The sequence below is a fragment of the Homo sapiens genome, chromosome 7 (assembly GCF_000001405.40).
Source record: "Homo sapiens chromosome 7, GRCh38.p14 Primary Assembly".
Classification (NCBI taxonomy): domain Eukaryota; kingdom Metazoa; phylum Chordata; class Mammalia; order Primates; family Hominidae; genus Homo; species Homo sapiens.
This window is the reverse complement of record NC_000007.14, coordinates 26435744-26450336: the sequence shown is the minus strand read 5'-3', so window position 1 is coordinate 26450336 and position 14593 is coordinate 26435744. Positions and strand designations below refer to the sequence as shown.

Below are 14593 nucleotides of genomic sequence, written 5' to 3'. Positions count from 1 at the left end.
CGGCTGGGTGCAGTAGCTCATGCCTGTAATCCCAGAACTTTGGGAAGCCGAGGCAGGAGGATTCCTTAAGCCCAGTATTTTAAGATCAGCCTGGGCAAATTAGCAAGATCCCATCTTTATTTTTTTAATTATTAAAAAATTTTTTTAAAAATTTTAGAAAGATGTATTTTAAAAATGAGTATAAGAGAAGCAATGCAGGAGGGAAAGAATGAAAGAAAAACAGCAGAAGACAAAGCAGTAGAGGATAGCACTTACAGATCACTCCTGACTCACCCCTGGAAAACATTCACTCAGTTGTTTGCTGGGGAGCACACCTCCCTTCCTCCCAGGCATCCATTCAATCATCTAAAACATTTACTGAACTGGACACAGAGCTGGGCCCTGAGACTACAGACATGAGTCAGACATGGTCCCTACCCTCCAGGAAATCACAGTCTTGCCAAAATACAAACACAAAAAGTGAACGTCTGAAAAGAGCTCTAAGAAGAAAGTGTCGAGTGCTGAGCGAGCCTAGAAGAGGAGGCTGTTCCTCTGCCTGTGAGGACAGGCGGGAATTGGCTGACCCTGAATGAGGAGTATGCTTTCCCCAAGCAGCAAAGAGGCAAGGACCTGGAGCTGCTGAGGAGAGTCACAGGAGAGGAAGCTCAGGCGAAGGTGAGGGCTGGGCTGTGAATAACCTGAGCAACGGACTGAGCAGTTAGGCTACATTCTGCAGCCAGAGAGGACCCACGGCAGCTTTTAAATCAGAGGAGTGGCATGATGGTGTCTGGGTTTTGGAAAGGCCAGTGGCAGCAGCATGAATCGTATGACCTTGGGACGTGCCCTGGGCAGATGATCCTCTTCCCCAGGGCAGCTGTCCTCAACGTGAAGGCTTTTCCCTGTTCTAGATCAGTGACTTCATCCTGGGATATAACAACTTCCTGTACTCACAGATTCTAGGAATCATTTAATGGGCGCAGTGAGGATGGCTCATCCAGGACCTCAGCAGGAAATATCCAAAGTATTTTGATATTTGACTGGAGTGACTCCATGACTAGGAGCTGGAATCATCTGCAGTCTGGCCTGGATGGCTCAAAGTCCAGGACTGCTGGCTGGAGTTCCTCACAAGGGCATGCTCAAAGCTCATGCCCAGTGCATCTCACAGGGAGTCGGGAGTCAAAAATATGGAAGCTCAGTGTCTTTTAGTATCTTATGTCTGAGAGAAGGATCTGTAAAAGGATTGCTTGCCATATTTACGTATTTTTGTTTTATTTCTTACTGCATCATTTAGCTGTGACCTCCATAAAAGAGGTCTCCAAGATGTGACCTGGTCATCCCTTTTCAACCTCAGCTCCCACCCACATACCCCAAACTCTGCAGCAACCAGTTGCTTGGAGTTGCCCATAAACATTCTCTCCTTTTTCCCGTCTTGCCTTTTCACAGACTGTTTCCTCCACCCGGAATGCGCCCTACATGCCTGGCAACCTCCTACTTCCCTTTCACGATTCAACCCTAACATCTTCTGGTCTCAGAAGCCTTTGCTGAGTCCCCAGGCACAGTTGTGCCTTCCTCCTCCCCACACCCCTACACCTGGTGTTCCATTATATTCTATACTTAGCACTCTGCTGCAATTAATTGTCTTCACAACCACCTCTCTCACTAGCCTATGAGCCCTCAAAACTCTTGAAGGGTGGAGAATCTGTTATTCTTCTTTGTCATCTCTCCAGCTCACAAACATAGTAAGCACATTGGAGATGTTTAACCAATGTGGACTTTTCATAGTGACTTTCAAGTTAACCTTCATGTTCTTACAGCATTTTATAAGGCTTATATTAAGAAAGCCCTCTTCAGCCTGGGCAACATAGTGAGACTTTATCTCTACAAAAAAATTTAAAAATTAGCCAGGCATGGTGGCACATACCTATAGTCCCAGCTACTCGGGAGGCTAAGGCAGGAAAATTGGTTGAGCCCCAAGGGTTAGAGTCTGTAGTGATCTATGATCATACCACTCACTGCACTCCAGCCTGGGCAACAGAGCAAGACCCCATCTCTGGGGGTTAAAAAAAAAAAAGGAAAGAAAAGCCCTCTTAACATCTCATCATCTACATGCAACAATCCTGCATGTATTGGCCCCATTTAGAGATGAGAAAACAGAGATTCAGAGGCATGTGGTGATTTGCCCAAAGACACTGACCAAGAAAGTGACAGAGCTAAGACTTCTCTTCCTCTGCCGTCTGATCTACTCAGAGCTCTTGGATAACATGGTGCCACAAAGTGCCCAACCTCAAGTTCAAAGACTTACTTTGGACATAATTTCTTTCCAGTGTCTAGGGCTGTACCTGCTCCTCTGCATACTCCAGTCCCATTGGTTTCTGTTTGAGCACCATGTGTTGGGGCAAGCCCAAGGGCAGGACTCTCAGAACAAGGGCAAGGGGGAACTGCGGGAAGTCATTCAGGATGGCCTCGGGAAGCCTGACTTAAGTTCAAATTGTGAACAAGTCAGTGAGCTAAGGCTGCAGCCGGGACTGCAGTGGAAGGGGGAGGGATGAGATCTTGAATTATTTCTTTTGCAACCCTGTCCCTGGCATCACTTTGTGTAGCAAAGCTTACCTTAGAGTCCATGTCCTACTGAAATCACCATAAGATCAGATCTATCAGAGCCCAAATTAATGAGATTTCTAGGTGTTTATGAGTTGTCTTCATTTCAATTTAATTTTTCGAACAGGAAATATATTTACAGAGTTTGAAATTCCAAAGGCACAAGAGGATATACAGTAAAAAGTTTTCTTCCCACTCTTGTCTCTCACCACCAATTTCCTTTCTACAAAGGTATTTCATGAATATTCAGGGAAATACAAGCATTTATATATGCATACATACATACACACACATATTCTTTTTCTCTCATTTTCATATGAAGGGCAGACTATTTATACACTGTTCTACATCTTGATTTCTTTTTCTGCTTAACAATATGTCTTGGGATTCCCTCCATACCAGCACACAAAGAGGTGTCTCCATCATTTTTACAGCTGTACTGGATCCCATTGTATGGCTGTGCCAAAATTTGTTTAACCAGTTCCCGGTTGAGGGGCATTTATTTTGTTTCCCATCTGTTGCTATTATAAACAATGTTGCAGTGAATAACCTTATAGATACATCATTTTGTTCACATGGGAGTATATCCATAAGCCAGATTCATAGACTTGGAACTGCTGGATCAAAGGGTGTGTGTGTTTGTAATTTCAATGGGGAGTGTTCCAAATGACTTTCCACAGACTTTGTACTAATTTAAAATCCTACCGGAGTTGTACAAGAGGGTCTTTTTTTTCCACAGAAACCTCTTTTGTACATAAACCATCAGGGATAGTCTAAGGATTCAAAGAAGCCATGAAGACCAAACAACTCTTCTGAATTTAAAAAATAAAGGTGGGGTGGGGCGAAATGCAAATCAAAACCACAGTGAAAAAAGGGGAAAAAACATGCAATGAGATACCACTTCATACCCGCAAGGATGGCTATAATCAAAAATAAACAAAAAGTAAGTGTTGGTGAGCACGGAGAAATTGGAATCCTTCGCATTGCTGGTGAGAATGTACAATGGTACAGCTGCTTTTAAAATCAATTAGGTGGTTTCTCAAAAAGTTAAATATAAAATTACCATAGGACCCAACAATTCCATGCCTGGGTATATACCCAAAAGAATCAAAAGCACATACTTAAGCAAATACCTGTACACAAATGTTCATAGCAACGTTATTCACAATCGCCAAAAGGTGGAAAAAATCCAAATATCCATCAAGGGATGAATAGATAAGCAAAAGTGGTAAGTACCTACAATAGAATATTACTCAGCCATAAAAATGAATGAAATTCTGATAAATGCTACAAAATGGAAGAACCCCCCCAAACCAATTTCATTTACATGAAACATTTACATCAGGTAAATCCACAGAGTCACATGCAGATTGATGGTTGCCAGGAGCTGAGGAGTCAGGGAAATGGGGAGGGATTGTTTAATGGGTGGACAGTTTCCTTTGGGGATGATGAAAATGTTTTGTAACAAGATACAAGTAGTGGTTGCACACACTGTGAATGTACTAAATGCCACTGAATTGGAGTTTAAAATGGATTACAGTTTGTGTCATGTAAATTTCACCTCAACCAAGTAGAAAAAAGGAAAGAATAAAAGTGGAGGTGCGTTTACGTCCTTGTTCCCAATATTCTTGGTTGCTGACTTTCTGAATCCCCCACTTTGTGATCCTCTCCCAGTTCAGTCTGTCTACAGAGGGCCCCCTAGGATGGTTACAGACATCCGCTAATAGCATATGCCAGGCAATGAGCCTGGGGCTTTTATGCATTTTCCCGTGAATTCTTCACCACAACTGAGCGAAGTATCATTATCTTCTTTTTTTTTTTCTTTTGAAACGGAGTCTTGCTCTGTTGACCAGGCTGGAGTGCAATGGCATGATCTCGGCTCACCACAACCTCCACCTCCTGGGTTCAAGTGATTCTCCTGCCTCAGCCTCCTGAGTAGCTGGGATTACAGGAGCACGCCACCACTCCTAGCTAATTTTTGAATTTTTAGTAGAGATGGAGTTTCACCATGTTGGCCAGGCTGGTCTTGAACTCCTGACCTCAAGTGATCCGCCCACCTCAGCCTCCCAAAGTGCTGGGTTTACAGGCGTGAGCCACCATGCCTGGCCCATTATCTTCATTTTACAGATGAGGAAACTGGGATTTGGAGAGTGCAAGTAGCTTGCCCAATGTTACTCAGCTGGAAAGTAGCAAAGGGCGACTGACTCCAAAGCCAAGCTCTTTCCATTAAGCAGCCAGCCTAAATGTTTTACCTACCTCAGCAAGAGTCAAGAGACAGCAGGCCCTTGCCACCCCCACAGGCCATTCCTAATAACTCAGTGACCTGGGCTCTGGGCCAGGCTACTCCTCTGGGAGGCACACAGCTTCTTCTCCTTCTGGGACCCTCTGTATCTAGCTCACTACAGGCATTTCCCTGAAGCCCAGCTCTGTCCCTTTCTTGCCCTCCTATTTAACATAGTGAATGAGTTCAAGGCACCCCGTAAATGCGACATGAATTAAATTGATCTCAGTAGGTTGGAGCCAGTGAAATAAAAAAAAATTCATAGTGCTCTGGCTTTGGCCTAATCTGAATTACATTGTTTGAATAAAGTAACTTCATTTATTTCTGCTGTGACAGAAAGAATGAGAGCTTTGGTGCTACACAGACCGAGCTGCAAATCCTGGGTCTGCCACTCCCCTGCTTTGTGTTCTTGGAGCCACAATTTACTCATCCACAAAATGGGGTTGCAAGCTTGTAAGGAGGTTTTGACAGCACACTATAAGAAAATGCCTAGCATACTTCATTCAAAAAATATTCATTAAGGACCTACTATGTACAAGGCAGCATGCTCTGTTTTTCTTTTAAAGTAGTTTTTTAATGTGATTATGACAAACACAACCCCTGAATTCAAGAATCTTCCATTTTAATGGAAGAAACAGACATTACATCACTACATAACTAATTGTGAATGAGGGGCCTGACCTATCTGGAAGGGGGTTGTCCAGAGGCTTTTTGAGGAAGTGACATCAGAGCCGAGATTGAAGGGTAAGTAGGTGTAGGCTGGGGGTGGGGGAGTTGTTCCAGCAAAGGGCACAGTGGGTGCAAAGGCCCTGAGGGAGAAACGAACTAACAGGGGACCAGTGTCCCTGGTCCTAGACATCCAAGGGGAGAGGGGGAGGAGATGGTTATCACTCATTGCCAAACAGAGTAGCCCACCTAGCTTTCCCCATCCCTGAAACCACCCTTCCATTTCTCAGTGACCTCCCAGCTGGTCCTCCTGCTTACTTCGGTGTGCCCCTGCAGCTCATCCTCAGGACACAGCCACATGGATTCTTTAAAGAAGCAATCCAGGAGCCAAGTGTGGTGGCTCATGCCTGTAATCCCAGCACTTTGAGAGGCCAAGGCGGGCAGATCACTTGAGGCCAGGAGTTCGAGACCAGCCTGGCCAATATGGTAAAACCCCGTCTCTACTAAAAATACAAAAATTAGCCGGGCATGGTGGCACATGCCTGTAATCCCAGCTACTTGGGAGGCTGAGGCACAAGAATCACTTGAACCCAGGAGGCAGAGGTTACAATGAGCCGAGATCACGCCACTGCACTCCAGCCTGGGTGATGGAGTGAGTCTCTGTCTCAAAAAAAATAAAAAATTAAAAAATAAAGAAGCAATAAGGGGCAGGTCACCCTCCACTTAATGCCCTTCAAGGGCTGCCTATTATTTCTAGAAGACTCTCAGACCAGCGTCCCTCATGTGGCTCTGCACGTAAGAGTACCTTCACTGCCAGCCCCAGGAAGGCTGCAGTGCCTCAGGCTCTTCTAAGGAAACCTGCCCCACCCACAGGCGGAAGGGGAGGGAGACAGGCAGACTGGGGCAACAACTGTTCATACAGACCATTTATCTACAGGCAAATACCCCTTAGCACTTGCTCAATCACTACATTTGGCTGATGATCATTAGCATATCACACATGCGACATGCACCTGGCTTGAGAGTCTACAATTTTCCTCTATTTGGTTAGTGCTGTCCTTTCCTTAAATAAAACATTTTCAACTTTGCCTGAGGAAGGAACTTCCCACCATAATGTAGTTGTGCCCTTCTTTTCTTGCTATGGCCTGATGCTCCATTTTTCTGGTTATTACTATTTTAACCACGTGAGCCCCAGTCACAGTGTACCCCTCTATTCTTGGAGCACCTCCAGCTTGGCAGCACCCTGACAGGGTCAAGCTATAACATTTTCAGATGGAGACAGGCAATAATCCCTGTGCCTTTGACTGTCATAGAAACAAAGCCTGAACAGTGGTCATGAAGCCCTCTGGGATCTTACCATTAACCAGAGACAGGGTTCCAGCCATGTAGGAAACAACCCACTGGCATGGCAAAAAAAAGAAAAAAGAAAATAAAAAGAGGAAAGGAAATGGTCTGGTTGTCATTTTCTTATTCTGCACAAATGACCAAAGGCCTTCTTCCCTGGGCATTCTCTCATGTTGAAATTCATGAGACAATATGCACATGGGGTAAGAAGCAGCGTAGAAACAATTCGTGCTCACCAGATAGCCACATGCTCCGTTCATTTCCCAGCCTGCCTTGCTGTCAGGGGGTCAGGTGACTCATTCCAGCCTATGGGCTGTGGGAGAAGTTCTGTAGGTTATTTCTAGGCAGAGGCAGTCAAAATACAACCTGTTAGTGGATCTCATCTCTCTCTCTTCCCCCGCTGTGGTCTCTCTGAAAGCCACCCACTCCTGAGAGCATAGCTGCAAGATGGGACAGAGATGCCCAACACACATCCGACTTTACAGGAACAAGAAATGAACTTTTACTGCATAACGCTGCTGAGATTTCAAGGCTTATGTGTTACCACAACACAGTCTAGCCTAGCCCGATTCATTCCTACTCTGGGCCTCACGCTGCACAATTATAGGTTGCAAGCACTGAAAGGTAAGAAACGGTTCTGCTTTCAAGACGTTTACAGTCTGGATGGGGAGACCAGATAGGCAGAAATTCCATGCTAAATGCTAAAGTTCAGGCCACAGGCATAGACAGCATTCGAACAGAACCAGCCCCCAGTGCAAGGGAAATTTTACACGGGAGGTAAAAGCACAGGATGACAGGCAAACAGGTAAGACCTTCAGAAATACAATTTTATTGAACAAGAGGTATAAGTGTAGTGATCAGGCAATCCTGAGTAGACATGCTAACTTCTTCTAACTTTGCAATAGAGTATTTAGAAATATAAAGAAAAATAGAGAGAATAACATACTGAACCCTTATTCCAGTGATGACCCAGCTTTTACAACTATCATTGCTTGCCAATGTGGTTTTTATTTACTCCCTGCCTTTCTTTCCTGTAATATTTTGTCAATTATCTGATAACCAGTTGTAGGCAAATGTCCCCAGTTATTTAAATATATATCACACATCTTTTCAGTTCGTTTTTTCAAATTAGGACCTAAACAAGTTCTGAACATTGAATCTTGTTGGTATGTCCTTAAAATCTGATTTTGGCTATAATACTTTACCCACACACATGTTTTTAAATGCCATTTATACACATTAACTTTATAAACACAAAGTAATCTGTTCTTAAGGCCCTGTCTACTCTGTTCTCACAAAAGGGCAAAAGAAATCTTGTAAAGATCAGCTGAAATATCAAGAGTCACAAAATCGTGTTGGGTTTGCAGAGGCCAGGCAATAAAATGTATTGTCAGACTACATGTGGCAAACAGACATGACATGTGGCCTGCTAGGGGAGTCAGACCTGAGCCCAGATGGGCCTTTTTAGAAAGTGCCTTCCCCAAAAGGAGAGGTCACACAGGACATGTGTCCATCTGCTTAGCCACTGTGATACCTGTAGGTGCCATCCCAAGAGGGAACTACAGGGAAGGTTGTGATCTATCAGATAAAGTAGAGACTGGCCTGTGACTCTGATCCCTATCTTTGACGTCTCACCAGGAAGACAGGGCTTCTGTGAGGCAGCAGCCAGGAAAGGTATTTGGCCCATGAATCTGGAAAGGAGTGACTGCGCCCAGGCTTGAGCCTGTGCATTTGGTATCACAACTGCCACACTCCCCACCGGGGGAGCAGGCGCGTCCCAGAGGTCCCTCACACAAGACTGTCCACAGCCAGATTCCAAATTCAGATGATCGCCATTTACTGTTTTTGTAGAATTGGGGAAGACTTTGGAATCTGAGAGCAAGAGAGAGACAAAGAGTGAGGGACAAACAGAGACAGAGACACAGAGGACAAGAGTCAGGAAACATCCATCCACCCTGACCCGCCCATCCTCACAGAAAAAAGGCAAAGGCGGCAGGAAGGAGCCAGAGGAAGGGCCAGGCACACAATGAGGACGCAGGAGACAGCAGAGCGAAGCAGAGGGGAGGCAAACGCCGCCTTTTGAAGTCTGACAGCTCTCTGAATGCCACCACTCCAAAAACAAGCCGCTCCAAAAGAAACTAACAGGTAAGCTGCAACCTCAGCCTTCGCTGTTACACAAAGAACACTTCCCAGCAGTGCTGCTGAACTGCCTGTGCGGCGCTCCCAGGATGGGTTTGAACAACCAGCCTTTGTTCTATTTTCCCCTGCTACAGTGGAAATGAACAGGAGCAACTGACACAACAGCATGTCAGATGTGGATTATTGGTTTAGAAGGAGGCCCGGATTCCAGAAACCCCACCAAAGAGACAGTGGAAATGTCTGAGAAGACAACAGAAGGCTGCAGCCGGGTCACATGCCAATTAAGTGGGCTGTTTGGAGCAGCACGTAAATGATCAAAAGCATTTGGGACCTTCTCCCATCAGTCACAAAAGATGCTTAAGGCCGGTTCCTTTGAATGCTGTTTTAGTAGTGGTCTCATACAATACATCTTAAGGAACATTTATACTGTGTTCACTGTGCATTCAACTGTGGCCACTTCAAAGGTTTAGCCAAGTATTTTATGGCCATGGTAAAGGGTTCTTATTGATTTAAATTACAAGCTTGGCTCCTGTCAGCTCCACTTGAGGGCAAAAATGCAATAAAATATCCCACAGCACAAGAGACAGACATATCACATTGAAAATCTTAAGAGATCCTTTTCACTATAATCACTCTAAATGACATTTATTTATACAGGCAAGCTTATCAGAGAGATTTGTCTACAATCTTTAGGCTTTAAGGGTTTCTCTCGGTTTGGGCATTTGCTTTTTTAAAAATCTAATTCTGACCTGGGCCATGAAAAGGTCAGAAGTGCATGCTGCCTCCCCTCGCTTAGAGTCTCCCACCACTCCCCAGCTACTCACAAAATGGCTTGTTCCAAGAATAGTGACGTTGACGCCATCACGGCTGAAGGATTATGATTTTCAGTCCTCCTATCATTTGCATATCCAGCAGGCCAGACTCAGATGAATGAGAGGTGTCAAGGCATGAATGACAAGCCTATCAAGGCAATGGAAGGCTGTCTCAGGATTAACTGTCAGGGAGACAAACTTCACTCTGGAGACAGAGACAAGAACAAGCTTTCTATTGGAAGACTCTAAAATTGAGAGGGATTCAAAAGCTGTCAATATGAAACGTTGCTTATGCTACTTGCTAATCCCTGTGATGATCAGCACAAAAGAAGTTGCTTTATGCTAAGAAGAAGGGAGAAAACCAAAGCAGCAGGCTCTGGTCTGCTTCATTCCTGCTTTCTTCATAATAATTTGCCTGAAACATACTCAAGATGGAGCTAACCCCCAGACATACACAGAAAACAGCAAATGACTATTAGGTATCTGACATTTGAAATAACATGCTTCTGGAGGGTTGGCATTACAAGAGTCATTTCACTTCAAAATGTTATTCCTAATGTAATTTTTTAAAATTCATAAGAGGTACTTGCTAGAATTCAGTGTAGTACTAAAGTCACTCAAAAGACAGAGGTCAAATTCATTTCATTTCTTTTATGTTTTCTTCTCTCTGCTAGATGAAATAAATGATTAAGCCTAGAACACTTGGCAGTTCAGCGAATGTGCTCCGTGGCACCATTACAAGATCGATTTTCTCAATACAGGAGTCTTTCTAGGGTGCACATTGCTTAGCTGACATCTGTCGCCGTTGTCATGGCAGCGCTCTCTCCAGCATAGTGAGAGGTCAGGCCTGACAGGGAAGGCCTCGCCAGCCCTACCCCAGTCACTTCAAGGTTAACAGCCAATGGACCAAAGAAATAGGCAATTATAGTACAGTCAATTCCAGTTAAGGAAATATCTGAGAAGTAAATATGTCTGATAAGTGAATGGAAATGAAGCAGCCAATGCTATTGATGCAATCCCATAATATCAATGCCTTTTTCTGGTTCAGTTTGGTTATTCCTTGTAAAATTCATGCTCAAAGAAATCTAGCAAGAGAGAGGATAAGCAAAACTTCATTATGCAGCCATTAGCCTCTGTACTTGAAGAATAGAATTCCCAGAGATGAGTAGATGAATGTCAGAAGAGCAGAACTTCTTCCCAGAAAAAATGCAAAGAAAATCCCCAGGGTCTCCATCCCCTGTTGGTTTAGTCCCTGCTATTTCCAGCTGCATGTCTGTCTAAAGAAGATTCTTAGGATTTCAAAGGAAGTTGACTTTAAAATAATATTTCTCATTGCCACCTCATCCTTACTAAATTCATTACTTATCAGAATGAAGGCCCTTTGTATAATTTCAACAACTCTGAAAAACAGCAAATTATTCCAAAAAATTCCAAATCACCAACATGTTGAAATTGCTAATTTCTAATGATACACCTTTCCTCTAAAGCATAACTTTTGATAGAAAATATATTTTTATAACAGACATTCTTTGAACAGAATTTAAAAAATGACAGGTGGAACTAAAACATAGATTTTCAATTACAAGTTACATACCCTAGAAATGCAGTTACTGACAATGTCTGAAGGTAGTAAAACTTGAAATTCATTATGGTAGATACATTCATATTATCCACTCCTGATTAAATCTTGCAGTTAGTACAAAGAGAGCTTTAGATTTCATCAGACGCCTGAAAGAATGGCAATGACTTTTCTTTTCTTCAACTGTAGGATTTTGTTACTCACAAAAGGAATAAAAAATTAAGAGTTACATTTATATTAGAAAATTTATAATATATAATATGGGCATTTTTTATATATATGTAACTCTTAATAATAACTCAATAATATATATACGTAACTCTTAATTTTTTATTCTTCTTTGTGAGTAGAAGAATACGTAGTCACTGTGTTTACTCACCTCAGCTCTTTGCCAAAACATTCTCAGCTGTGGTCAGCGTAGACCATAGTGACTGCTGAGGTCTATAGCCCATCATTGGTCATATTGAGAGGCAGAATCTCTTCCAACATTGGTCAAGTTGTACTTGCTACCTTGTTTCCCAGAGTTCCCATTAATAAGCTGAAGCTATCCATGCCTCCCTCTTGCTTCATGAGTGGAAGTTGGTTTAGCACCCAAACTAATGAGCTGACATTACTCCCTTCAGCCCAACAGTCTCTTGAGAACCAATGGCTTCATTTGCAAACTCAGCATTACTTTAGAAAGGTCATGTGTGGATGCAAGAAAAAGTAAGCCACTCAAGTAAGCTTAAGTGTGGAAGATTTTACTGTAAAAATACAGCGGGAAATCCTGCAGAGGATTAGAAACAGACAGGAAACAAATTATATGCAGACCAAATTGGAACTAAAATTGGAATTGGAAAATGAGAAATCAGGGTGATTCTCTCTACGTGTATTTCACCTCTGCCATGCTTTTCTTCTTCTCTCTTCACCTCTGTCTTTCGACTAGCTTTCTCTGCATTCAGCGTGGGTTAATTTGGCATGACCTTTCAGTTCTAAAGCCATCTTCATCTTTCTCAGTTTCTCAGTGTCCAAATTCCCACAAGAGCGAGTCTGATTAGCTCAGCCCAGACAATGGATTGGCTCTCCCAAGGTCCGGTGCCAGTTGGATTTAATCATCCAGGGTGGGGATAAGAGTGGGTAAGGGGCTCTGACCAGGGTCATGCAGTTTACATGTGACTTCCCAGCTACAGCCTTCAGCAAAGGCAAGGCACACATTAAAAATATGTCTTCTACAAAAATCAAAGATGATACATGAATTAAAAACTTCCCATGTGCCCAGAAACTTTACAGGTAAGCAAGAGCTCTTCAACAAAATGATGCTAAGATAGTTATTCAACAATATTATCATGACTTGTCAGCATGTCATGACTTGCAGACATATCTGCAGCCTTGTCAGAATCATCTCCATCAGTATAAAATGACTACCCCAGCAAAAAAAAAAAAACAACGCAGAAACACTCCCTTCCTAATTACAGGGGATAAAACACAGAGAAAAAAAAAATGCCTTGTCCTTCACAATAGGCCATCGCCAGCCTTGCATCCCATGCCCCACTACACCCTGCATCTCCTGACCTGTAGTTAAACTGAACTATTTCCTGTTCCCTCTTGAAGCCCCACACTTTCTTTTCTCATGCCTCCCTCCACACAATGTTTGCATTCCTTCTTCAGTCTGCAGCACACTGTAATTAAACAGAACTAACACACAGAGGCTCTCAAAGAATAACCAGGGAGTAATGAATGGCCTCTGGAAGCGGGGGATTTTTATCAAGCAGTTCCTTTAAGTGGACACTTGATAAGAGAAGGCACACAGGGTCTGTCCTTGAGGGCCATCTAAGATGCCAGCTCCCTCAGAAAGCCTTCCCTTGCTTGGCTCCCCAGATGAAATATCACTAATCCATCCTCCGAGGAAGCATTTCTTGTTTCTATCACTGTTTCCCAAATGTAAGAACTTGTAGATCCTTAAAATTACAAGCGCACACACCCCAATCTGAGAAATAGTGCATTACAAGTTAAACTCTGTCACTTAAGGGGCATGTGAGCCATGCTGAGTCATAAAGTCGAGACCCGAAATCACATGGCAGTTCTAAGTTTTTTGTCTGACCTCCAGATGACCCATAATATTCCTCTACTAATTATTTAGATGATCATCAAAATAAAAACACAAATCATCATCATCATCATCATTAAAACTCAATTTTAAATACCTAATTGTTCAGACCTGTGTAGCCTGGCATATCCAGAAGGCTCTCATTCCAATTTGCTGGGCCCACATGGAATTAATCAGATGCTACTTCCACCATTTTGATTTGACTGTATAGCTCTGGCCTCTGAAACCACCAAAAGCTCTCTACAGCTTGATAAATTATATGCCTTCTGTTTACACTTGGTCAAAACCATAAATCCAAAGCTTGTTTTGGATAGTGATAGATTTCCACCTTGTTCACCTGTAAACCTAGTCAAAACACCCCTCCTACTCAGTTATAGACTCTGTTATTCTAGATACACCATCTGAGCAGGAATGCTTATCATTTGCTAAAACAAGAGTGCAAAGAACTGGTTTATATGTCAACATGTGGTGGAAAAATACAGCATTGACTCTATCTGAGTCATTTATAATCTCTGGTCAAAATTGAGAATTACTTTGGCAAAGATAGAGATGGCTATTTTTTATCCTTTGTCTGTCTTATTCTTCTCTGAGTGATTTTTACAACTTGTGCAGTAGCTATTTTTTTCATTCTTTATCCAATATGTAAGATGCCAAGGACTGTGCCAGACATCTGAGAATACAAATATCTCATAGTCTAATGGAGGAAAAAGATATGTAAATAGGTAATGCAGTGGAATAAATCCTGCAAACGACGTACATATTAAGGGCAATAAAAAAGAAGAAAATTATTAACAGGCATTTCAGAAGACTATCATAGAAAAGAATCTCTTTAGTGGGTATCATATTGGTTATATATTGCTGCATATGAAATTACTGCAAAACATAGCAACTTAAAACAACAAACTTTTTTTTTCCCTCACAGTTTCTGTCGGTCAAGAATTCAAGAGCTGGCTCAAGGTTTCTCATGAGGTTGCAATCAAAATCACTCACATGGCTGTTAGCAGGAGGGCTCAGTTCCTCTCGTGTAGCCTTTTCCATGGAGCTGCTTGAGTATTCTCATGAAATGTCAACTGGCTTTCCCCAGAATGAGGAAACCCATAATGCTTAAT

General features: G+C 42.8%; 1 long non-coding RNA gene across 6 annotated transcripts in view, besides 2 other annotated features; it reads right to left on the bottom strand.

Annotated features, from left to right (window-relative positions):
• Nucleotides 1-14593, bottom strand: part of LINC02981 (long intergenic non-protein coding RNA 2981) — a 142382-nt gene that overhangs the window by 90614 nt on the left and 37175 nt on the right. The window lies entirely within an intron of this gene.
• Nucleotides 8135-8709: an enhancer, noted in NCBI's record as "NANOG-H3K27ac-H3K4me1 hESC enhancer chr7:26481248-26481822 (GRCh37/hg19 assembly coordinates)". NCBI's record gives its function as "activates a minimal SCP1, AML or CMV promoter by ChIP-STARR-seq in naive H9 embryonic stem cells {active_cell/tissue: H9 hESC(naive)}" and the evidence as "EXISTENCE:reporter gene assay evidence [ECO:0000049][PMID:30033119]".
• Nucleotides 8710-9285: an enhancer, noted in NCBI's record as "NANOG-H3K27ac-H3K4me1 hESC enhancer chr7:26480672-26481247 (GRCh37/hg19 assembly coordinates)". NCBI's record gives its function as "activates a minimal SCP1, AML or CMV promoter by ChIP-STARR-seq in naive H9 embryonic stem cells {active_cell/tissue: H9 hESC(naive)}" and the evidence as "EXISTENCE:reporter gene assay evidence [ECO:0000049][PMID:30033119]".